The 26,185-nt window shown below is 38.7% G+C and overlaps 1 protein-coding gene across 1 annotated transcript in view, besides 1 other annotated feature; it reads left to right on the forward strand.

The window, feature by feature from the left end:
• XKR9 (XK related 9) overlaps window positions 1-26,185 on the forward strand; it is a 396,467-nt gene that overhangs the window by 70,551 nt on the left and 299,731 nt on the right. The gene's annotated exons all lie outside the window — the stretch shown is intronic.
• Window positions 7,884-8,384: an enhancer, noted in NCBI's record as "H3K4me1 hESC enhancer chr8:71660008-71660508 (GRCh37/hg19 assembly coordinates)". NCBI's record gives its function as "activates a minimal SCP1, AML or CMV promoter by ChIP-STARR-seq in naive H9 embryonic stem cells {active_cell/tissue: H9 hESC(naive)}" and the evidence as "EXISTENCE:reporter gene assay evidence [ECO:0000049][PMID:30033119]".

Raw genomic sequence — 26,185 nt, forward strand, 5'->3', positions numbered from 1 at the left:
TGCCCTTAACATTTTTTCCTTCATTTCAACTTTGGTGAATCTGACAATTATGTGTCTTGGAGTTGCTCTTCTTGAGGAGTATCTTTGTGGCGTTCTCTGTATTTCCTGTATGTGAATGTTGGCCTGCCTTGGTAGACTGGGGAAGTTCTCCTGGATAATATCCTGCAGAGTGTTTTCCAACTTGGTTCCATTCTGCCCGTCACTTTCAGGTACAGCAATCAGATGTAGATTTGGTCTTTTCACATAGTCCCATATTTCTTGGAGGCTTTGTTCGTTTCTTTTTATTCTTTTTTCTCTAAACTTCCCTTCTCGCTTCATTTCATTCATTTCATCTTCCATCACTGATACCCTTTCTTCCAGTTGATCGCATTGGCTCCTGAGTCTTCTGCATTCTTCACGTAGTTCTCGAGCCTTGGTTTTCAGCTCCATCAGCTCCTTTAAGCACTTCTCTGTATTGGTTATTCTAGTTATACATTTGTCTAAATTTTTTTCAAAGTTTTTAACTTCTTTGCCTTTGGTTTGAATTTCCTCCTGTAGCTCGGAGTAGTTTGATCATCTGAAGCCTTCTTCTCTCAACTCGTCAAAGTCATTCTCTGTCCAGCTTTGTTCTGTTGCTGGTGAGGAACTGCGTTCCTTTGGAGGAGAGGTGCTCTGCTTTTTAGAGTTTCCAGTTTTTCTGCTCTGTTTTTTTCCCCATCTTTGTGGTTTTATCTACTTTTGGTCTTTGATGATGGTGATGTACAGATGGGTTTTTGGTGTGGATGTCCTTTCTGTTTGTTAGTTTTCCTTCTGACAGACAGGACCCTCAGCTGCAGGTCTGTTGGAGTTTGCTAGAGGTCCACTCCAGACCCTGTTTGCCTGTGTTCTAGCAGCGGTGGCTGCAGAACAGTGGATTTTCGTGAACCACGAATGCTGCTGTCTGATCGTTCCTCTGAAAGTTTTGTCTCAGAGGAGTACCTGGCCGTGTGAGGTGTCAGTCTGCCCCTCCTGGGGGTTGCCTCCCAGTTAGGCTGCTCGGGGTCAGGGGTCAGGGACCCACTTGAGGAGGCAGTCTGCCCGTTCTGAGATCTCCAGCTGCGGGCTGGGAGAACCACTGCTCTCTTCAAAAGCTGTCAGACAGGGACATTGAAGTCTGCAGAGGTTACTGCTGTCTTTTTGTTTGTCTGTGCCCTGCCCCCAGAGGTGGAGCCTACAGAGGCAGGCAGGCCTCCTTGAGCTGTGGTGGGTTCCACCCAGTTCGAGCATCTGGGCTGCTTTGTTTACCTAAGCAAGCCTGGGCAATGGTGGGTGTAGGTGGTGGGGACTTTGGGCAGTATTTAAGATTAGTTTAGATAAGGTTATCAGGGTGGGTTCTCCATGATGGGACTGGTGGTTTTATGAGAAGAGGAAGAGAGACCTGAGCTAGCACACTCTTGCTGTCACTATTTGATGCCCTCTGCCATGTTATGATAGAGCAAAGAGGCCCTCATCAGATGCTAGTGCTATGCTCTTGGCCTTCCCAGGCTCTGAAACCATTAGTGAAGTAAACTTTTCTTTATAAATTACCCAGTCCCTGGTATTCAGCGGAAAACAGACTGAGACACATGTAAGTGTATTCATATTGTATTTGTCTTTTGTTACTGGCTTAGTTCGTTGAGCATAATGTCTTTAAGCTTCATATTTTAGCATGTGACAAGATTTACTTCTTTTTTTAAGACTGAATAGTATTCCATTTTATATGTATGCCACATTTTGTTTATCCATTCATTCATTGATGAATGGATTGATGAATGGATATTTGGGTTGCTTCCACCTCTTGGCTATTGTGAATAGTGCAACAGTGAACATGGGTTTACAAATACTTCTTTGAGATTCTGCTTTCAGTTCTTTTGGATATGTACTCAGAAGTGGGATTACTTGATCACGTGGTAATTCTGTTTTAAATCCTATTCAGAAGTAGGATTTCTTGATCATATGGTGGTTATTTTGAGGAACCTTTATACTGTTTCCATAATGGCTGCACTATTTTACAATCCCACCAACATTGCATAAATGCCCCAGTTTCTCTATATCCTCACCAACACGTGTTGTATTCTGTTTTTTTTTTTTCTTTTGATAATGGTCACCCTAATGAATATGAGATGATATTTCTTTGTAGTTTTTATTTGGATTTCTTTAATGATTAGTGATGTTAATCATCTTTTTATGTGCTTATTGGCCATTCATATATCTTCTTTGGAGAACTCTCTATATTTAATTAAGGGTTAACATCCAGAGTATATAAATAACTTCTGTAACTGAATAACAACAAAAAAGCCTAAATAACCAGATTAAAACTGGGCAAAAACTCAGTAATATGTCCCTTATGCTACTCTTTGAGAAAGTTAAGCAGTGTGAACCATTTACTCTTTTAGGAGGTAGGAAATCTTCGGTTTACCTTGGGCACATGATTCTTGTATAATTACATAGCTCCCTGTTTCTGCATGTTTGGTGTATATGTTTGCTTGTATGTTTGTGGGGTGAAGGTGAGAAAAGAAGTTAAGCTGCTTGGCAGCACTTGATTCGGAATCTTTGAGTAATAAAGGGCCTAAAGACTTTGAATCATAAAGTGAAAGTGTTCTTCGTTTTTTTCTGAAGATTTAAATGTCTATGTGTTATTATTTCTCTTCAGCCTAGATAATTTGTTATAGTTTTTTTGTATAGGTTAGGTTTGTTAGTGATGATTTCTTTTTTAATTTTTTTTAAATCTGAACATATCTTTATTTATCTTTCATTCTTGTAGGATATTTTTGTTGGATATAGAGTTCTGAGTTGACAGGTTTTTTCCTTCCTTTAAGTGTTTTAAAGACATCACTCCACTATTGTCTGGTCTCCATTGTTTCTGATAAAAAGTTAGTGATCATTTACATCATTATTCCCCTGTGTGTAATTTGTTGTTTTTCTCTAGCTATTCTTGAGATTTTTACCTTTAGCTGTTGGTTTGCAGTTGTATGACTACTGTGTTCATGTGTATAGTATTTTTTTTCTAGTTTTTTCTTTGTATTTCTCCTGCATAGGATTCTCCAAGTTTCTTGAACCTGTAAATTTTTGTCTTCTATTATATTTAGGAAGTTTCTGGCCATTATTATTCTCATGGTTTTTCTTCTTCTTTATCTTCTTGGAGTCCACTTCCAAATGTGTTAGACCTATTGATATTCTCCCACCTATTCCTGAGGCTCTGTTCATTTTTTTCCAATTTGTTTCTCTGTTCTTTAGATTGGAGTTTTCTTCAGGTTGACATTTCCCGTATCTTCAATCTACTGTTAAGTTCATATAATGAATTTTTAACATTTTTCAGATACTGCATTTTTATGTTCTTGAAATTTCCTTGGGTTCTTTTTATGGTTTCTATTTCTTTGCTAAAATTTTATGTATTTTTATATATCATAAGCATATTTTTCTTTATATCCTTGATCATATTTAAAATAGCTGCTTTAAAATCTGTCCACTAATTCCAATACCTGGGTCATTTTGGGATTGGTCTCCATTCATTGCCTTTTCTCTTGAGTATGGGTTACATTTTCACGTTTGCTCATATGGCTACTAATTTTGAATTGTTTCCTGGATGGTATGAATGATACATTTTAGATCCTCTTGATTATTTTTGTTCTTCAGAGAAACATTTTTTTTTCTTTTCAGCAGGCAGTAACTTGAACTTTAAACTCTGAACTCTAAACAATCTTTATTTAACCTTCAGTGAGCTGCATCGAGTCTTCCCCTTATATGCATAGTTCACGGTCAGCCTAAAATTGGGCAGAATTAATATATGAAGTGAGACTTCCTTTCTGTTGGTTCTATTTTTCTCCTAGATTTTCCACCTCATTTTTCAGCAGTTGTGATCACCACATACTCTGTTCTCTGGGCCTTAAAACCACTAAAACTGTAGGTTTTTAAATTTGGATTTTGTGTAGTTGGTATGCTGAGTGGGGTCTGCTCTCACTCAGTGCCATTCCTTCTTCCAGATGTCGACCTCTCTCCAGTGTCTGCTTGCTTTTTTTTGCTGTGAAGTGCTTTGAGGTAATTACCAGTGTTTTGTCCAGAGTTCATAGTGGTTATTTGTGAGACGATTTGTGCAGTAAGAGATATACCCACCTTCTTATTAATCTATAACATTTTCAGTAATCTTTCTGTAATGTTTGCCAGTCTTTCTGCCAGCACTTTGGGAGGCTGAGGCGGGTGCATTACCTGACGTCAGGAGTTCAAGACCACTCTGGTCAACATGATGAAACCCCATCTCTACTAAAAATACAAAAATTAGCTAGGTGTGGTAGCAGGCGCCTCTAATCCCAGCTACTTGGGAGGCTGAGGAAGGAGAATCACTCGAACTGGGGAGGCAGAAGCTGCAGTGAGCCGAGATCATGCCATTGCACTGCAGCCTGGGTGACAGAGCGAGACTTCGCCTCAAAAAAAAAAAATCTTTCTGTAATATTTACTTAGACAAGATGTGTAAAGCTTTTTAACATTTAGTTCTCTCTCATCCCTACTTATGACCCTGATAAAAACTGCAATATAGATATTATTATCATCACTACCCTTTAACTGGGAGAACCAAGGCTCATAGAGTTTAAGTAATTTGCCAAAGTCCACACAGATCCAATCTCAGGCTTTTTCACCTCAAATCCAGTTCATTTTTTGTGAAACCATGCTATCTTTATCTGATGAATAGGTTACCTACAGCTATGCTAAGTTATGCATTATTTAAAAATTATTATTTTTGTGATAGAGTCTTGCTCTGTCACCCAGGCTGGAGTGCAGTGGTGCGATCGTGGCTCACCACAACCTCCACCTCCTGGGTTCGCGTGATTCTTGTGCCTCAGCCACTCAGGTAGCTGGGACTACAGGTGTGCACCACCACGCCTGGCTAATTTTTGTATTTTTGGTAGAGATTGGGTTTTGCCATGTTGGCCAGGCTGGTCTTAAACTCTTGGCCTCAAGTGATCTACCTGCCTCGGCCTCCCAAAGTGCTGGGATTACAGGCATGAGTTACCATGCCAGCCTGAATGATTTATTTGCCTATGATATAGTTTTTTAAAAAGTCTAGCCTAAATGTTTTTCAGCTTTAGCTCAAGGTAGAGCTGGACTTGTGTCACTGTTAGCTTGAATAATCCAATTAACAATATATGTAATGGGAAAAAGGGTAGGAAATAATATATTATACATCTACTAAGGAGCTTGAATGCTAAGTGTCCCACACAAACATAGATTAAGTATTCATTCCATCCAACAAACATTTTCTTATTGGTTTTATAGCCAAGAAATAAATGGGAAGATCCTGGTCAGATGTTTTGGCTAAATAGTAAGCTTTTAAAATGAACTTTTAATATAGAATGAACTTAATTAATTTTATCCTCATGTTCTATATGGTTCAGTCATGGCTTTATAAGACTTTTAAATTTCCGCAACTAAATTTTGGGCTTTTTCTAGATTATTATGTGTATATAAAAGGCCTTTTGAAATTTAAAAAAGAAAAATAATTATGAGCAATACTTTCATAAAAGAACACTCATATGCACCTATATACATTCACATCTTCAAATATGAATACTCTCCTCATAGACTAGTGGTTCTCAACCTTTAGTGTGCATCAGAATCTCCTGGAGTGCTTATTGAAACACATTGCTGGCCCCTATCCTGAGTTTCTTTTTAGTAGGCATTAGGTAGGGCTTGAAATTTGCGTGTTTAAAAAAGTTCCCGGATGTTGCTGATGCTGCTGTTCTCCCCTCCCTTCTTTGAGAATCCCCGTTGACTTTTGAAGGCTATCAGTTAATAATTAGTTTCAAAACAGCCACTAGAGGGCAATGGAACCACAGAGAAATTGGACGTGCTGCCTAATTTGTTCCCTGGTTTATGGGATCAACTATGTATTGCTACAAGCCAGGAGAACACCAAAGCCAAACATTAATTTCTTGCACAATATCTTGATGCTCATTTCCAATTGTAAATCTTGTCCTTGTGATTGTGGGGGTCAGAGATATATAATGCATCTCTAACTCTGGCTGATGCCCCACTTAATGATTACAATAAATTCAAAGTTGGACTTTTCTAGCTGAGCATTTGCACATATACATGTCTTTGGGGTTAACATGAACCATTTGTCGTTTCCCAAAGAGGCTATATTTTGATATTAGATCTAGTTTGTTACAGAGATGATTATGTAGTTAAATGGTATCCTTCATTTTAAGATTTGTGCCTTTTATTTTGTGAAAGTGGGACTTAAGTACTTTTTTAAAATGTTAAACAGCATATAATAAATATATAATTATATGTTATATACAGTAAAATAAACAGCATATAGTATATAATTATATTCCATAAAGAATATGATTATACATTCATATCTTCAAATATGAATACTATGCTTCTCATAGACTAGTGGTTCTCATTCTTTAGTGTGCATCAGAATCACCTGAAGTGCTTATTGAAACAGAATAAAGAATATAGAATATAAAGAATATAATTATATATAATATAAAATATAATTATATACAAAACAAATAAAGTAAAATATATTGTATATATGATATATAGAAATATATAATGTATAAAACATATAAAATATAATTATATATTATAATTATATTCATGGAATATAAAGATCACAGAGTATAGGGAATTTGCAGTTTCTTTCTTTTAGATATATTGCTTTGATGGTAGGAAAGGACTAGAGGAAAATGAAAAGATGTAGTTTGCAGGACTGTTATATTTTCTTTTTGCCTAGACTGGTACAGAACTTGAAAATTTCTTTGCTGCTGTTGCTGCACTTTAAAAATTCTGTCTTGATAGTGCTATGGTTTGAATGTCTGTCTTCCCCAAAACTCATGCTTAAACTTAATCCCCAATATGGCAGTATTGAGAGGTGGGGCCTTTTTTTTTTCAGATTCAGGAGTATATGTGCAGATTTGTTACATTGGTATATTATGTGATGCTGAGGTTTTAGCGTCTATTGATCCCATTGTCCAAGTAGTAAACATAGTACACGATGGGTAAATTTTCAACCCTTGCCCTCCTCCCTGTCTTCTCCCTTTTGGAATCCCCAGTGTTTATTGTTCCCATCTCTGTGTCCATGTATACCCATTGTTTAGCTCCCACTTATAAGTGAGAACATGTGGTTTTCTGTTTCTGTGTTAATTCACTTACGATAATGGCCTCCAGCTATCCATGGTTCTGCAGAGGACATGATTTTGTTCTTATTTATGGCTGTGTAGTATTCTGTGGTGTATATTTACCACATTTTCTTTATTCAGTCCACCATTGATAAACACCTGGGTTGATGCCATGTCTTTGTTATTGTGAATAGTGCTGAGATAGACATGAGTGCGGGTGACTTTTTGGTAGAATGGTTTATTTTCCTTTGGATATATACCCAGTAATGGTATTGCTGGGTTGAATGGTAATTCTGCTTTTAGTTCTTTGAGAAATCTCCAAACTGCTTTCCACAGGGGATTGGGTCATGAATGCATTGCCTCATAAATGAATTTATCCATTCATAGATTAGTGGATTAATAGGTTAATACATTAATGGGTTATAATGGGAGTGGTACTGGTGGCTTTTTAAGAAGTAGAAGAGAGACCTGAGCTAGCATAGTCAGCCCCGTTGCTATGGGATGCCCTGTGTGGCCTTGAGATGCTGCAGAGAGTTCCCACCAGCAAGAAGGGTCTCACCAGATGTGGTCCCTTGACCTTGGACTTCCCAGCCTCCTGAACTGTAAGAAACACATTTGTTTCTTTATAAATTATCCAGTTTGAGGTATTCTGTTATAATCAACAGAAAACAGATTAAGATAGATAGGTAGAGTCTTAGATACCTTTCTGAGTAGCCTTAATTCTTGGCTTGAGGCAACAATTACTTTTAATTGCAATGTAGAAATTTTTATTTAAAGTCCAAAGACTGGAGTTTGATTCCTAGACTTGACATTATTTTTTGGATGACATTTATGAGTCATTTAAGACCCAGTTTCTGCATATGTAAAATAAGAATTACATATTTAATAATAATAATGTCTTCATGGACTATTGTGAAAAATCAGTGAGATACTATATGTGATGGTGTTTTGTAGACTGTGACTATCCCTGAAATTTTCTGTTTTTGATATTCTTTCACCAAGATAGTATTTTTTGAACTTGATTTTGATGTTGTTATTATATCTTTGTAAAATTACTTCCACATGTACGAGATAGCAACAATCATATAAAAAAATTTAGAATTATATTAATGACAGGGGCGGCCCATCTGGAATGGCCACTGTGAAGAAGTGGGTTGCAGCGGGGGAGGTGTGGCTGGGGCTGCCCTGTTCTGCAGAGCCAGCAGGAGCAGGTGGGAGCCCTGCCCCCTACTGAGTCAGTGGGAGACCTGTGCTCCTGGGCGCAGATGTAGCTGCCCAGCTGCAGCTCTAGACCTGGGCATCCCTGCACTCGCAGGGGCCCAGGAAGCCCCCTTCCCCCCACAGGCTTGGAAGTGTCTGCTCCTGCTTTCTAGTCTCTCCCCGCTCCTGGCGCCTTCTCTGGTGTGGAGCAAAGTTGTAGCCAAGCCTGGGTGCTATTGTGACCTGGCTGGGTGTGTGTGCATTCAGAGAGGCACAAACATGCCAGCCCCCTGCAACCTTGGCTCCCTCTAGACTTTGGGTACTGACAAGCGTGGGAGGGAGGCTGGTGGGGGCTGAGGGTGGCTCTGTGCAGGTCTGCAGGTGCCCCTTGGCATGAGGAGCCTGGGCGCTGTGGATGGCATGTTGATGGTAGCAGGAGGCAGACAGGTTCCTGGTGGAAAAGGGCAGGTTCCCAGTGAAGCCCCACCTTCTAGCCAGGGACAGCCTGAAGCCTGGAGGCCAGGCTGTCAGTTCTGGGTAGAATCCACTGCCCAGATGAGAATTTATGGTGCTTTTTCCAGGCTTGCCCATGGCTGCCCATGGACCAATCAGCATGCACTTCCTCCCTTCTGAGCCCACAAAAACCCCAGACTCAGCCAGACTCAGACATTGGGACTACAAGCTCTGGGGAGGAGCTACCTACTTCAGGTCTCCTCAACTCTTCAGGATGACCTGCCTGCATAAAGGAGCTACCCACCATAGGTCTCCTCTGTGCTGAGAGCTGGACACTTACCTGGACAACCTGCCTGTGGAAAGGAGCTACCCACCATGGGTCTCCTCTCTGCTGAGAGCTGGACATTCATCGGGATGACCTGCCTACAGAAAGTAGCTACCCAAAGGAGTGACCCACTTCAGGTCTCCTGAGAGTTGTTCTGTCACTCAGTGAAGATCTTCTCTGCATTGCTCACCCTCCAGTTGTTTGTGTACCTCACTCTTCCTGGATGTGGGACAAGAACTTGGGGCCTGCTGAATGGTGGGACTGAAAGAGCTGTAATACAAACGGGGCTGAAACATGCTCCATGCCTGCCACATTGTGGGTGACGAGAAGGAGAGAAGAGCTGCGGCCCTTCTGGGAGTCTAGACCTCAGGGCTCCCCAAGCCAGGGCTGTGAACATACTGTAACACCCTCTTTGGAGTTCTGTGGTTACCTGTGCCTCCAAGCTTTCAGGTGCCACCAAATTCCCTTTGTCTAGATGTTGCTGCCTGCAGCAGAAGCTACTTGTGGTACATTTGGTCCAGCCACAGCCTCACATGGAGTCGGCATCTGTGCCAGTGCCTGGAGCTGCCCCCATGCCTCACCTGGCATGCCTGGCTGTGCACAGTGGCTGGACCCATGCTTGCTCACTCACACACCTCTCACCACTCTGTGCCTGGCTCACCCTTGGCAGGCATGGGATCCAGGCCAGTAGTGTGAGTTGAGCGCAGCTTGCCAGGCCGTTTGGGTGGAACGAACCCAGCAGGTGCAAGCAAACCCCAAGCAGAGGCATGGCTGGCCACAGAGGGTTTCTGGCTGGTGACAGACCAGCCACCCTAGGGTATCACTGTGACTATAAGACAAGTAGGTTTAATCCTTTTGCATATAACATCTTAGTTTTTCATTAGACTGTTGCATGTTGTGTTTATTCCTGATATTTAGAAAATATAATCTACTGAGACTGTTAAATACAAGTAGTGATTAGATCAGGAATAAGGCTTAAATTGCAAATTATTTTCTGGGATTTGGAAGTATGTATAAATGCGTGTGTGTGTGTGGTGTGTGTATGCATGAATGCACTTATGTGCATGGTAGGATTTCATCAAATATTTATTGATAAATATTATTTCTCTTATTTTTTTCTGGACTATAGAGCCCCTTTAGTTATTGTTGCTTTAAGGTTAAACAATGGTTTTATTTATAGTTTTGTTTTGTGTCTGGCAGTGTGTCTTGCTAACTAGAAATATGAGGTCATATAAATTAGGGATTGCATTTCTATGTTGCTCTGTGAACTCTGCATAGAATTTCTAGGGGTTTCTATTAGCAGCAGAATACTGTTACTTTTTCTGAGCTCCTAGAGAAGTGAATGGAGTATATTTTTTTCCCTAGGAAAATCATCTGATTCCACTTTGGGAGCAATAAATCAATCCATCAGCATGTGCTTTGGAGGGCTGTCTGTGTATTCAGTAATGTTCTGGGATAAGTCTTAATAAATATCTGTTAAATAACTGATTGGTTACCACTCCAGAGGAGTGATTTAGTTTTTCTTGGTATCTGTAGATGTACATCTTTTTTAAAAATTGCAGGTAAAATAACTTTTTTTTCATTCTCCAAGGATATGAAGATTGCCACTGGAGTCTGCTCTTCCTTTTAGAAAACAGCTTTCTTGATATATAATTCATACAATTCAACTGTTTAAAGTATAAAATTCAATGGTTTTTAGCCTAGTCATTAAAATAGACTAAAACCATTAAACTTTTCTAATCTTTAACTATCACCACAATTAACTTTAGAACATTTTCATTACCTACAAAAATAAACTGTTACTTTTATCCTTTCTGTGATGGTTAATTTTATGTGTCAATTTGGCTGGGCCATGATGCCCAGGTAAGTGGTCAAAAATGTTGTACTGGATATTTCTGTGTAGATGTTTTTGGATGAGATTAATATTTAAACGAATGGACTTGGAGCAAAACATATTGCTCTCCGTAGTGTGGTTGGGCCTCATCTACTCAGTTGAACATGTGAATAGAGCAGATGACTTATCTACCTCAAGGAAGAGAGAATTCTGGCCTTCCGACTTGAACTGCAGTATTGGCTCATGCTATGTATAGCTTGCTGGCCCACCCTGCTGATTTTGGGCTTGCCAGCCTCCATAATTGTGATAGTTATTATTATTTTTGAGATGGAATCTCACTCTGTCGCCCAGGCTGGAGTGCAGTGGCGCGATTCGGCTCACTGCAGCCTCCGCCTCCTGGGGGTTTAAGGGATTCTCCCGCCTCAGCCTCCCAAGTAGCTGGGATTACAGGCACCTGCTACCATGGCTGGCTAATTTTTGTATTTTTAGTAGAAATGGGGTTTCACCATGTTGGCCAGGCTGTCTTGAACTCCTGACCTCAAGTGATCTACCTGACTCAGCCTCCCAAATTTCTGGGATTACAGGTGTGAGCCACCGTGCCCGGCCTGTGATAATTTTAGGTGTCAACTTGACTGGGTAAAGGGATACCCAGATACCTGGTAAAGCATTATTTCTGGGTGTGGTTGTGAGGCTACTTCTTGAAGAGATTGACATTTGAATCAGTGGACTAAGTAAGGAAGATGTACCTTCACCCAATATGGGTAGGTACCATACGATCATTTGAGGGCCTGGATGGAACAAAAAGGCAGAGGAAAGGTGATTTGCCGTTTCTTCTTGAGCTGAGACATCTACCTCCTCCTGCCCTTGGACACCAGAACTTCAAGTTCTCTGGACTTTGGACTCTGAGAGTTTTAACAAAACCTCCACACCTGCTCTGTCACCCCATATTCTGAGGTCTTTGGGCTCGAAGTAAAAGTTATACCATCAGTTTCCCTTGTTCTCACACCTTTGAACTTGGACTGAGCCATGCCACCAGCTTCCTTGGTTTTCCAGTTTGCAGACATAATATTGTGGGACTTCTCAGCTTCCATAATCACATGAACCAATTCCCATAATGAAGCCCGTCTCATGTATCTCTCTTTATATCCTATTGGTTCTGTTTCTGTGGAGAACCCTGACTAATACATTTGTGTAAGCCAATTCCTTGAAGCAAATCTATGTATTCATCCAATTGATTTTTTTGTCTTTGGAGACATGATTAATACAACTCTCACTCCTCCACCCCATTTTCCCTCTCACTGATTCTGGTCCTAAGCAACCACAATCTGCCTTCTGTTTATAGATTTCCCTATTCTGGACTTTCATATGAATGGAATCATATAGGATATGGTCTTTTGTGACTGGCTTCTTTAAAACACAACATTTAAAAATTTCGATGAAGTCTGTTTTAATCTGTTTTCTGTTGTTATACCTGAATACCCGAGTCTTGGTAATTTGTAAAGGAAAGAGGTTTATTTATCTTACGATTTTAGAGGCTGGGTGGTTCAAGATTGAGTGGCCACATCTCGTTGGCTTCTGGTGAGGGCCTCATGATGCATCATAACATGGCAGATAAGTGGAAGGGGAAGTTGGCATGTGCAGAGACCAAACACGAGAGGCAGCCTCACTTTACAGTCCACTCTCATGATAAATAATTCAGTCCTGTGAGAGTGAGAATTTACCCCTAAAAGGCATTAATCCCCCTTAATGACCTAATCACCTCTTAAAGTCACAAGCTCCCAACATAGCTACAATGAGGACCATGCGTCCACATGAGTTTTGGTGGGGACAAACCATAGCAAAGTCCAATTTATCAGTTTTTTTCTTGTGTTGCTCAAGATTTTGGTTTCATCCAACGAGAACAAAGACACAACATACCAGAATCTCTGGGACACATTTAAAGCAGTGTGTAGAGGGAAATTTATAGCACTAAATGCCCACAAGAGAAAGCAGGAAAGATCAAAAATTGACACCCTAACATCACAATTAAAAGAACTAGAAAAGCAAGAGCAAACACATTCAAAAGCTAGCAGAAGGCAAGAAATAACCAAAATCAGACCAGAACTGAAGGAAATAGAGACACAAAAAACCCTTCAAAAAATTAATGAATCCAGGAGCTGATTTTTTGAAAGGATCAACAAAATTGATAGACCGCTAGCAAGACTAATAAAGAAGAAGAGAGAAGAATCAAATAGACGCAATAAAAAATGATAAAGGGGACATCACCACCGATCCCACAGAAATACAAACTACCATCAGAGAATACTACAAACACCTCTACACAAATAAACTAGAAAATCTAGAAGAAATGGATAAATTCCTCGACACATACACCCTCCCAACACTAACCCAGGAAGAAGTTGAATCTCTGAATAGACCAATAACAGGATCTGAAATTGTGGCAATAATCAATAGCTTACCAACCAAAAAGAGTCCAGGACCAGATGGATTCACAGCCGAATTCTACCAGAGGTACAAGGAGGAACTGGTACCATTCCTTCTGAAACTATTCCACTCAATAGAAAAAGAGGGAATCCTCCCTAACTCATTTTATGAGGCCAGCATCATCCGGATACCAAAGCCTGGCAGAGACACAACCAAAAAAGAGAATTTTAGACCAATATCCTTGATGAACATTGTTGCAAAAGTCCTCAATAAAATACTGGCAAACCGAATCCAGCAGCACATCAAAAAGCTTATCCACCATGATCAAGTGGGCTTCATCCCTGGGATGCAAGGCTGGTTCAATATATGCAAATCAAGAAATGTAGTCCAGCATATAAACAGAACCAAAGACAAAAACCACATGATTATCTCAATAGATGCAGAAAAGGCCTTTGACAAAATTCAACAACGCTTCATGCTAAAAACTCTCAATAAATTAGGTACTGATGGGACGTATCTCAAAATAATAAGAGCTATCTATGACAAACCCACAGCCAATATCATGCTGAATGGGCAAAAACTGGAAGCATTCCCTTTGAAAACTGGCACAAGACAGGGATGCCCTCTCTCACCACTCCTATTCAACATAGTGTTGGAAGTTCTGGCCAGGGCAATTAGGCAGGAGAAGGAAATAAAGGGTATTCAACTAGGAAAAGAGGAAGTCAAATTGTCCCGTTTGCAGATGACATGATTGTATATCTAGAAAACCCCATTGTCTCAGCCCAAAATCTCCTTAAGCTGATAAGCAACTTCGGCAAAGTCTCAGGATACAAAATCAATGTACAAAACTCACAAGCATTCTTATACACCAATAACAGACAAACAGAGAGCCAAATCATGAGCAAACTCCCATTCACAATTGCTACAAAGAGAATAAAATACTTAGGAATCAACTTACAAGGGATGTGAAGGATCTCTTCAAGGAGAGCTACAGACCACTGCTCAATGAAATAAAAGAGGATACAAACAAATGGGAGAACATTCCATGCTTATGGATAGGAAGAATCAATATCGTGAAAATGGCCATACTGCCCAAGGTAATTTATAGATTCAATGCCATCCCCATCAAGCTACCAATGACTTTCTTCACAGAATTGGAAAAAACTACTTTAAAGTTCATATGAAACCATAAAAGAGCCCGCATCGCCAAGTCAATCCTAAGCCAAAAGAACAAAGCTGGAGGCATCACGCTACCTGACTTCAAACTATACTATAAGGCTACAGTAACCAAAACAGCATGGTACTGGTACCAAAACAGATATAGATCAGTGGAACAGAACAGAGCCCTCAGAAATAACGCCGCACATCTACAACTATCTGATCTTTGACAAACCTGACAAAAACAAGCAATGGGGAAAGGATTCCCTATTTAATAAATGGTGCTGGGAAAACTGGCTAGCCATATGTAGAAAGCTGAAACTGGATCCCTTCCTTACACCTTATACAAAAATTAATTCAAGATGGATTAAAGACTTACATGTTAGACCTAAAACCATAAAAACCCTAGAAGAAAACCTAGGCATTACCATTCAGGACACAGGCATGGGCAAGGACTTCCTGTCTAAAACACCAAAAGCAATGGCAACAAAAGCCAAAATTGACAATTGGGATCTAATTAAACTGAAGAGCTTCTGCACAGCAAAAGAAACTACCATCAGAGTGAACAGGCAACCTACAAAATGGGAGAAAATTTTTGCAACCTACTCATCTGACAAAGGGCTAATATCCAGAATCTACAATGAACTCAAACAAATTTACAAGAAAAAAACAACCCCATCAAAAAGTGGCAAAGGATATGAACAGACACTTCTCAAAAGAAGACATTTATGCAACCAAAAGACACATGAAAAAATGCTCGTCATGACTGGCCGTCAGAGAAATGCAAATCAAAGCCACAATGAGATACCATCTCACACCACTTAGAGTGGCAATCATTAAAAAGTCAGGAAACAACAGGTGCTGGAGAGGATGTGGAGAAATAGGAACACTTTTACACTGTTGCTGGGACTGTAAACTAGTTCAACCATTGTGGAAGTCAGTGTGGCGATTCCTCAGGGATCTAGAACTAGAAATACCATTTGACCCAGCCACCTCATTACTGGGTATATACCCAAAGGACTATAAATCATGCTGTTATAAAGACACATGCACACGTATGTTTATTGTGGCATTATTCACAATAGCAAAGACTTGGAACCAACCCAAATGTCCAACAATGATAGACTGGATTAAGTAAATGTGACACATATACACCATGGAATACTATGCAGCCATAAAAAATGATGAGTTCATGTCCTTTGTAGGGACATGGATGAAATTGGAAATCATCATTCTCAGTAAACTATCGGAAGGACAAAAAACCAAACACCGCATGTTCTCACTCATAGATGGGAATTGAATAATGAGAACCCATGGACACGGGAAGGGGAACACCACACTCTGGTGACTGTTGTGGGGTGGGGGGAGGGGGGGAGGGTTAGCATTAGGAGATATACCTAATGCTAAATGACGAGTTAATGGGTGCAGCACACCAGCATGGCACATGTATACATATGTAACTAATCTGCACATTGTGCACATGTACCCTAAAACTTAAAGTATAATAATAATAATTAAAAAAAAGATTTTGGTTTCATATTCAAAAAGGTCATAAAGATTTGCTCCTATGTTTTCTTCTAAGACTTTTATAATATATGCATTAGATTTACATTTAGGTCTTTGATGTATTTGGAGTTGATTTGAGTGTGAGATAAGTGTTTATTCTTTATTCCTTTGCCTATGGCTATCCAGTTACCCCCGTACCATTTGTTGAAAAGATATTCTTTATTCATTGACTAGTCTTGGCACCCTTATTGAAAATCAGTTGACCTTAGATACATGGATGTATTTCTGGCCTCTCAATTCTGTTCGACTACTCTATATATCTGTTCTTTTGTCAGTACTACACTGTTGATTACTGTTGCTTTATAGTAAGTTTTGAAATTGGAAAATGTGATTCCTCAGTTTATTATTCATTTTCAGCATTATTTTAATTGTCCAGACTCCCTTGCAATTTCATATGAATTTTAGAATCAGCTTGTCACTTTCTACAGAGAAATTAGCTAGGATTCTGATAGGGCTTGCATTGAATCTATGGATCAGTTTGGGGAATATTGCTATTTAAGCAGTGTTGAATATTTTGGTCCATGAACATGAGATGTTTTTCCATTTATTTAGATGTTTTGTTTCTTTCAACAATGTTTTTATAGATTTCAGAGTATAAGTTTTGTACTTCTGTTAAATTTATTACTAAGTGTTATATCCTTTTTGATGCTACTGTGAATAGAATTGTTTTCTTAATTTCATTTTTGGATTGCTCATTGCAAATGTATAGACATACTATTGATTTTTGTATATTAATCTTGAAGTCTTGCTGAACTTATTCACTAGCGCCAATAGTTTTTGGGCTACTTTAAGATTTCTACATATAAGATCATGTCATCTGCAAATAGAGATCATTTTCCTTCTCTTCCAATTTGGATACCTTTTATTTCTTTTCCTTGTTTAATGCCATGGCTAGATCCTCAGTATAAGGTCAAATAGAAGTGTTGAGGGTGGACATCCCTGTCTTGTGGCTTATCTTAAGGGGAAGCATCCAGTCTTGCACCACTAACTATGATGTTAACTGTGGATATTTATAGATGCTCTTTATTAGGTTGAGGAAATTTCCTCCTACTCCTATTTATTGAATGTTTTTATCATGAAAGGGTAATGGATTTTTTTTCAAATTCTTTTTCTGTGTCTATTGAGATAATCATGTGATTTTTGTTTTTTAGCTTACTTATATGACCTATTACATTATTTGAGTTTTGGATGTTTAGCTTTGAATTCTTGGTGAAATCTCATTTGGTTATGAATTTTCTCATTTCTCCTCTCCTTCTGATACTCCCTTTATGTGCATGTTGGTGCATTTAATGGTGTCCCATATTTCTGTGAGGGTCTGTTTATTTTTTCCTCATCATCTTTTTTTTCTCTCTGTTCCTTTGCATGCATAATCTCTGTCAATTTATCTTCCAGTTTGCAAGTTCTTTTTTCTTTCAGTTCAAACATCCTGTTGAGACCTTCTAGCAAATAAATTATTTCAGTTATTACACTTTGCAACTCCAGAATTTTGATTTGGTTCCTTTTTAAAAAAATTTCTATTTATTGGTATTCTCTATTTGGTATAATATTGTCAATATATCTTTCTTTACTTCTTTCATCATGTATGTATGTATGTATGTATGTATGTATGTATGTATGCATGTATTTATTTATTTATGACAGAGTCTTGCTCTGTCGCCCAGGCTGGCATGTGGTGCCGCAATCTCGGCTCACTGCAACCTCTGCCTCTGGGTTCAAGTGATTCTCCTGCCTTAGCCTCCCCAAGTAGCTGGGACTATAGGCACATGCCACCATGCCTGGCTAATTTTTGTATTTTTAGTAGAGACAGGATTTCGCCATGTTGGTCAGGCTGGTCTCGAACTCCTTACCTCAGGTGATCCGCCCACCTCAGCCTCCCAAAGTGCTGAGATTACAGGCGTGAGCCACCGTGCCTGGCTGCTTTCCTTTATTTCTATAATGGCTACTTTGAACTATTTTTCTGTTAAATCTGACATCTGGTTGTTTTGACAGGAAATTTATGTTGTCTGCTCTCCCACTTGCCAGAGAATGTATCCTACTTTCCTGTTTCTTTGCTTGCCTCATAATTTTTTGTTGGTAACTATTTTTGATAATATGACTACTCTGGGCACTACCCTGGGACTGGTTATTGTTAGTTTCTTATTTATTTGTTTAGTGATTGGCTGGATTATTATAGTAAAGTCTCTCCCTTGTTCTCTCTGCTATATGACCCCTGCCCCTACGTTGTTAAGCCTCTGATGTCGTTCCTTAGGGAGGCACAGCTTTGAGTATGCCTACAGTTAGCTTGGGATGACGGCAGCACCAGTAGGTCTCTCTCTCACTCTTACCCTGACCACACTTAGCTGGTAAACTCCAATAATTGCCAGACTATTGCTCTATTGTTTATAATAACACCCTGGAATATAATTTTTTCTGTACACTAGTCCCATCAAATTGTGGTTCTTTGGACAGAAAAGTTTCTGAGGTCAATGTATAATATTTGTTTTTATGTTGACAGGGCTCCTTCCAGCTGTCTTATTCCCCAGTTCTTTCTTGCAAACTAGCTGTCTTTATAGTTTAGGCACCCATTTAATAATAACTTTTTAAAAAATATGGGATTACCCAGATAATGTGGAATCAGAGATGCTCTGGAAGACCCAGGTCCCAGTTCAGTTCTTTCTAAACATTGTCCTATGATACAATGGCAACGTTTTTGTCGTTCACAAATAACACCTGTATTTAGACATTGCTCTTTTAAGTCAGTCTTGATGACATAATTTCTTTGATTTAAGATTAGAGTAGTTCAATAGCTAGCATTTTAAATTGTCACTCAGTGTTTATATTATCATCAACAGTGAAGCAGCAGGCATGGGCAGTGAAGTTACAGAGTAACAGCAAAGCTCTCCTTATATGGCCTTACCATACTGGCCCTTTACATGGAGCTGCCTGGTTGGTTTAGAGGCAGTCTCTAATGTGCTGGCCTGTGTTACTTGTGACCGTTTAGGATGAATTATGCAGAGGTCTACCTATTGTTCTGACGGGGAGGGATCCTTCAATAAAATTTCCCACTCTAAGCTATATTATGCAAATGACTATTTTAATTAAAAGCCTTGTTCCCCTTCTTTTTCATGGCTGGTTAGTGCCCGGACTATACAGGGACTTTCAAAAGTCTTCAGAGTAAAAAGTCTTTCCAGTTTTTCATCAAAAATGGGTTTGGTGTTTTGCTAGAATTTTCTTGCCAAATGTTTTCTATTTGGTAGAAAAGAATGCAAGCTTTTAATCATGGAATTTTTTAAAACAGCTCAGGCCCATGCAATATGCAACTGGATGTGCATTGGGCCAGGTACATTAGGTATTATTAATAGGACTCACTTTTCAGAAAATAATAGCTATTTTAGAAAGGGGGTGGAGAGAAAGGAAGGGAAGAAAAGGAAGAAAAAAGAGGAATAATTTTTCTAAGGATATAGTTTAGTTACTGCATGCAGATGATTTTCCTCCTTTTTATTGTGAGATAGGTTTGGAAATAATCTGTCTGACAGATCATGCATCATGTTTGACCTTGTCATTTTAATACAACAGTAAATAGAAAACAAATGTTTTTTTTTCTTTGAAGGTATGGTTATGACATCTTGCAGAAGTATTTTCAGTAGGTTAAATTAAAGATAATAAGCTATTTCTTCTTGTTTTGACTATTGTCATTGTGTAGGAGAGGGACTGCATTCCATGGACTTGTTTTAATTACCGTATTGGTATTTGCTGTGACATCTGGTGGCATTGGTGAGCTCACCTGATGGACCACAAAGTACTCTGATTTATGAACCCATAACTGGGGTTCCAATAAACATTTGTCAAAATAATGTATTAGTTCAAACCAAAGCCTTTTTTATTTATTCATATAAAAGAGCACTTAACTTTCAACAAAGAATTGCCTATCATCAAAAACACTCTATAAATGAATCAAATTTATGAAGACATTGTTCTAGAGGGTGATTGCTTAAAGACTACAGCTTATTTTAACCCTTTGAAGGATTTAGTGTTCTAACTTGTCTGTTTTGAGCATATTCTTTATATTTTTGTTTTCAAATAATGTATATTTTAATATTCACATGTGAAGTTACTTGTTACAGAATGAATCTAATGAACTTTAAAAATATTTATTCAGTTATCAAATTAGCGTATCTTCAACAGTCATCATTCTGTAGCTATTTCAAATTCTGTTAGGACAACATTTTTTTTTACCCATTCTTATTCAGTTTACTCGTAAGTAAGAATAAAACACACAGTATTCTCAAACTACTTTGTAAAGTGCTAAGGCTACTGATAAGGGAATTGTAGTCCATCTTTATTTGTAATATTCAGCTATTTTACCTATTTGCTCATTAACTGATTAGCATTGGTTTCTTTTGGGGTTAAATAAGATAGGTAATTTATACAGTATGTGCACCTTAGAGTCGTCACACTGGTAGAGTGAATTATTACACAGCAGTTTGTGAGGCATTATTTTAATATTTAGTAGTCACTATGCCTTTTTTATTGGGGTAAAATATATGCAACATAAAACGTACTATTTTAACAATTTTTGAAGGGTTTTGCTATGTTTCCCAGGCTAGCATCAAGTGATCCTCCTGCCACACAACCTTCCCCTTAGATGGGAGTACAGGCAGGTGCCACTATGCCTGGCACATTTTAGCCATTTTTATGTGTATAATTCAAGTACATTCACAATTATACAACCATCACCACTATCATTTCCTGAGCTTTTAAAAAAATTTATTTTAAGTTCAGGGGTACATGTGCAGGATGTGCAGGTTTGTTACATAGGTAAGTGTGTGTCACAGGGGCTTGTACAGATTATTTAATCATCCAGGTATTAAGCCTAGTATCCATTGGTTATTTTTCCTGATCCTGTTCTTCCTCCCACCCTCTGCCTTCTGGTAGGCCCAGTGTGCATTGTTCCCCCTATGTGTCCATGTGTTCTCATCATTTAGCTCCCACTTACATGTGAGAACATGCAGTATTTGGTTTTCTGTTGCTGTGTTACTTTGCTAAAGATAATGGCCTCCAGCTCTATCCATGTTTCCGCAAAAGACATGATCTTATTCTTTTCTATGGCTGCATAATATTCCACAGTGCTTATGTACCACATTTTCTTCATCCAGTCGACCATTGATGGGCATTTAGGTTGATTCCATGTCTTTGCTATTGTAAATAGTGCTGCAATGAACATACACATGCATGTGTCTTTATAGTAGAACAATTATGTTAATTTGGGTATATACCCAGTAATGGGATTGCCTGGTTGAATGGTGTTTCTGTCTCTAGGTGTTTGAGGAATCACCACACTGTCTTCCACAATGGTTGAACTAATTTACACTCCCACCAACAGTGTAAAAGTGTTCTTTTTTCACCACAGCCTCACCAGCATTTTTTTTTGACTTTTTAATAAAAGCCACTCTGACTGGTGTGAGATGGTGTATCATTGTGATTTCAATTTGCATTTCTCTAATGATCAGTGACACTGAGCTTTTTTTCACATGATTGTTGTTCGCACGTGTCTTCTTTTGAGAAGTGTCTGTTCACCCCACCTTTTAATGAGGCTGTTAGTTTTTTCTTGTAAATTTGTTTAAGTTCCTTATAGATGCTGGATATTAGACCTTTGTCAGATGCAGTTCGCAAACATTTTCTTTCATTCTGTAAGCTGTCTGTTAACTCTGTTGATTTTTTTTTTCTGTGCAGAAGCTCTTTAGTTTAATTAGATCTCATTTTTCAATTTTTGCTTTTGTTGCAATTACTTTTGGCATCTTTGTCATGAAATCTTTGCCCATGCCCATATCCTGAATGGTATCGCCTAGGTTTTCTTCTAGAGTTTTTAGAGTTTTGGGTTTTACATGTAAGTCTTTAATCCATCTTGAGTTGGTTTTTGTATATGGTGTCAGGAAGGGGTCCAGTTTCAATTTTTTTTTGCATATGGCTAGCCAGTTCTCCCAGCACCATTTATTAAATAGGGAATCCTTTCCCCTTTGCTTGTTTTTGTCAGGTTTGTTGAAGATCAGATAGTTGTAGGCGTGCGGTCTTATTTCTTGGTTCTCTATTCTGTTCCATTGGTCTACGTGTCTGTTCTTGTACCAGTACCATGCTGTTTTGGTTACTGTAGCCCTGTAGTATAGTTTGAAGTTGGGTAGTGTGATGCCTTCAGCTTTGTTATTTTTGATTAGGATTGCCTTGGGTATTTGGGCTTTTTTTTGGTTCCATATGAATTTTAAAATAGTTTTCTCTAGATTTGAACATTTTTAATCATCCCAAACAAAAACTATATAATCATTAAACAATCACTTTCCATTCCCTCTTTTTCCAGCCCCTGGTAACTTCTGTTCCAGGAGTCACCAACCCCTGGGCAACGGACTGCCAGTTCGTGGCATATTAGCAACTGGGCTGCACAGTAGGATGTGAGCAGAGGGCAAGTGAGCATTACCACCTGAGCTCCACCTTCTGTCCCATAAGCCACAGCATTAGATTCTCATAGGAGCATGAACCATATTGTGAACAGATCCAGATTGTCTGCTCCTTATGAGAATCTAACGCCAGATGATCTAAGGTGGAACAATGTTATCCTGAAACCATTCCCTCACCTCACCTGCATCCATGGAATTTATTTAAAGTGTCATTCTTTCTGTTCAGTAATGCAGTCATCTTAAGTTATGGTATTTTTTGAAAATAATAATATATAAAGAGGTTAGTTTCAGCTGTTCATGTCAACAAATATTTAAAGAGAACTAATTTTGTTCTAGGTGCAGTGCTAGCCACTGATGTCCTAAAGATAAATAAGATATCCCTAAATTTAAGGGACCCTTGTAGTTCCCAAATCTTAATAATTCGGCTACTAGTAATGTTTTCAAGTCTGCTGTAAAACTCAATGAGCTTTATTTATTTGTGTTACAAAGCAGAAATAGGTTTTTCATCCTTTTGTTATTCCTCCAACAAAATATATAGAGACACTATTGAAATCATGAATTGTATGTGGTGGATTTTTTGGTAAAGGAAGGTTGATCTAATAGCCTTGTGACCAGATCCTGAATAATTTTGTGACTAGAGGATATAAAAAATGATTTAATTATATAGTAATTCCTACCATTTATATGATCTAAACAAAAAGGAATCTCAGGCTGTAGTCTGTGAGAAAGGGATGAAAAGAGGGAAAACTGTGGACTATAAAATGGATTAAGGGGTCTTTGATAGTATAGTCTCTGCCTAGAATTTGAGTCAGAGCTCAATACATCTGTGGGTAGAATGTGATTCACTCTACTTCAGAAGCATGATGGTTACTTTTGAAAAAATATCGTGAGGCAGTGGCCTTGCTTACTTAGTTCACATGTTTGTGGACTCTTTTGGCCTTTGTAGAATAGAGCAGGGATCATCCAGCTAACTTTTTTCAGATAACTCTAAGGTGTCTGTGAGTTGATGTTCTGCTGCTTTTTAGCATTCCTAGAGATCTGGGTGTGAGGTAAGAATCCCCCTGTGGACTTCAACTGAAATAGAATTTGAGAATTCATGGTTGGCTGCTTTGGCCTTTGGCAGTTCTCATTAATGTAATTCTTCTATTTATAATACATCATTTCCATAAACAATGTATATATTCAGTTTATAGGTGTTTGAACTTCTTGGCTTAAAAGGAAATTTCAAATTAAAAAGCAGATCTAAAACTAATTTCTGAAAAAATTATTTTTTTCCCTTTCATATTATAGTAGATATAAGGGCAGTGAATTGTGTCCCTCCCCTATTTGAAGCAGAAATGCAAACAGTGGTGTTGCTCCTCTTCAAATTATTATTCAAATGTACTGGTGGAGGGGAACTTATACCCTGGCCTTGTTGCTGGTCCTTGGGTATAAAATTACTGATAACTGTTGAGCTGGATTAGTAGACTGTATTCCTAGGCAATATATTGGCATCTGCCTCTAGGTCTGCAAATGATATAATTCCTGACAGAACTTTAGATTCAGATTTTTCAGGCCCTTGTAGTCCAACCTGTGTGACATGGATTTACCTTGACTCTCACTGATGCTGCGTCTGTCTCAAGTTTTTAGCCACATACTGCAGATAGTTTTGAGTCTATAGCCTTATTGATGAGCTCTCCTTGCTTCCCATTATGAGATAACCTATGTCATGACTGCTGTCTTGGGATCTTCTCATTCTTTTCTTAGGGATATGTGGAAAACTTTAGGTTTACTCCACCAAATGAGAGATAATAATGACAATTAGGCCTTTTCTGCTCGACTTTCCTTCTCTGCCCTCTTTACTCTGCTGGGACTGTACCATATTAGTACAGGTTTGTCTTGCACAGCAGTTTTGCAATGGAGTCCCAAAGGGCCAAAAACCTCTTTTACTCTCAACATTCCTTTCATCTTATATAAAAGTTTCTCCTCTCTGGAACTTCAGCTTGGAGAGGGTAGGTCAGAAAATGTACTTGTTCTTTTGCTGCTTTCTCTCTCTCTGTTTTCCTTCTCTTCCCAAAGTGCACTGGCAAAGAAAAGAATAAGCTTTCACATTTCTTTCTGTCTTGTTTGGACTTCTTCTATATGAAAGTCTATGATTAAGATGACCAGATCTGCCTCTTCATTTGTTAAAGAGGGGGATAAAAAATTTAGAATATTATTTTGTTTTATTATACTTTAAATTCTGGGGTACATGTGCAGAATGTGTAGGTTTGTTACATAGGTATACATGTGCCATGGTGGTTTGCTGCACCCATCAAGCCGTCATCTACATTACATATTTCTCCTAATGCTATCCCTCCCCTTGCCTCCCACCCCCTGACAGGCCCTGGTGTGTGATGTTCCTCTCCGTGTGTCCATGTGTTCTTGTTGTTCAACTCCCACTTATGAGTGAGAACATGCGGTGTTTGGTTTTCTGTTCCTGTGTTAGTTTGCTGAGAATGATAGTTTCCAGCTTCATCCATGTCCCTGCAAAAGACATGAACTCATTCTTTTTCTATGGCTGAATAGTATTCCATGGTGTATAAATGTCACATTTTCTTTATCCAGTCTATCATTGTTGGGCATGTGGGTTGGTTCCAAGTCTTTGCTGTTGTGAATAGTGCTGCAATAAACATACATGTGCATGTGACTTTATAGTAGAATGATTTATAATCCTTTGGGAATATACCCAGTAATGGGATTGCTGGGTCAAATGATATTTCTGGTTCTAGATCCTTGAAGAATCACCACATTGTCTTCCACAATGGTTGAACTAATTTACACTCCCACCAACAGTGTAAAAGCGTACCTATTTCTCCACATCCTCTTCAGCATCTGCTGTTTCCTGAATTTTTAATGATCACTATTCTAACTGGCGTGAGATGGTATCTCATTGTGGTTTTGATTTGCATTTCTCTAATGACCAGTGATGATGAGCTTTTTATCATGTTTGTTGGCTGCAAAAATGTCTTCTTTTGAGAAGTGTTTGTTCATATCTTTGTCCACTTTTTAATGGACTTTTGTAAATTTAAGTGCCTCATAAATTCTGGATATTATCCCTTTGTCAGATGGATATATTGCAAAAATTTTCTCCCATTCTGTAGGTTGCCTGTTTACTATGATGATGTTCGCTTTCCTGTTCTGTAGGTTGCCTGCTCACTCTGCTTTCTTTTGCTGTGTGGAAGCTGTTTAATTACATCCCATTTTTCAATTTTGGCTTGCGTTGCAGTTGCTTTTGATGTTTTAGTCATGAAGTCGTTGCCTATGCCTATGTCCTGAATGGTACTGCCTAGGTTTTCTTCTAGGGTTTTTATGGCTTTAAGTCTTACATTTAAGTCTTGAATCCATCTTGAGTTAATCTTTGCATAAGGTGTAAGGAAGGGGTCCAGTTTCAGTTTTCTGCATATGGCTAGCCAGTTTTTCCAGCACCATTTATTAAATAGGGAATTCTTTCCCCCATTGCTTGTTTTTGTCAGGTTTGTTAAACATCAGATGGTTGTAGATGTGTGGTGTTATTTCTGAGGCCTCTGTTCTCTTCCATTGTTCTATATGTCTGTTTCGGTAACAGTCTTCTTGTTTTGGTTACTATAGCCTTGTAGTATTGTTTGAGTCAGGTAGTGTGATGCCTCCAGATTTGTTCTTTTTGCTTAGGATTGTC

The sequence above is a fragment of the Homo sapiens genome, chromosome 8 (assembly GCF_000001405.40).
Source record: "Homo sapiens chromosome 8, GRCh38.p14 Primary Assembly".
Classification (NCBI taxonomy): Eukaryota; Metazoa; Chordata; class Mammalia; order Primates; family Hominidae; genus Homo; species Homo sapiens.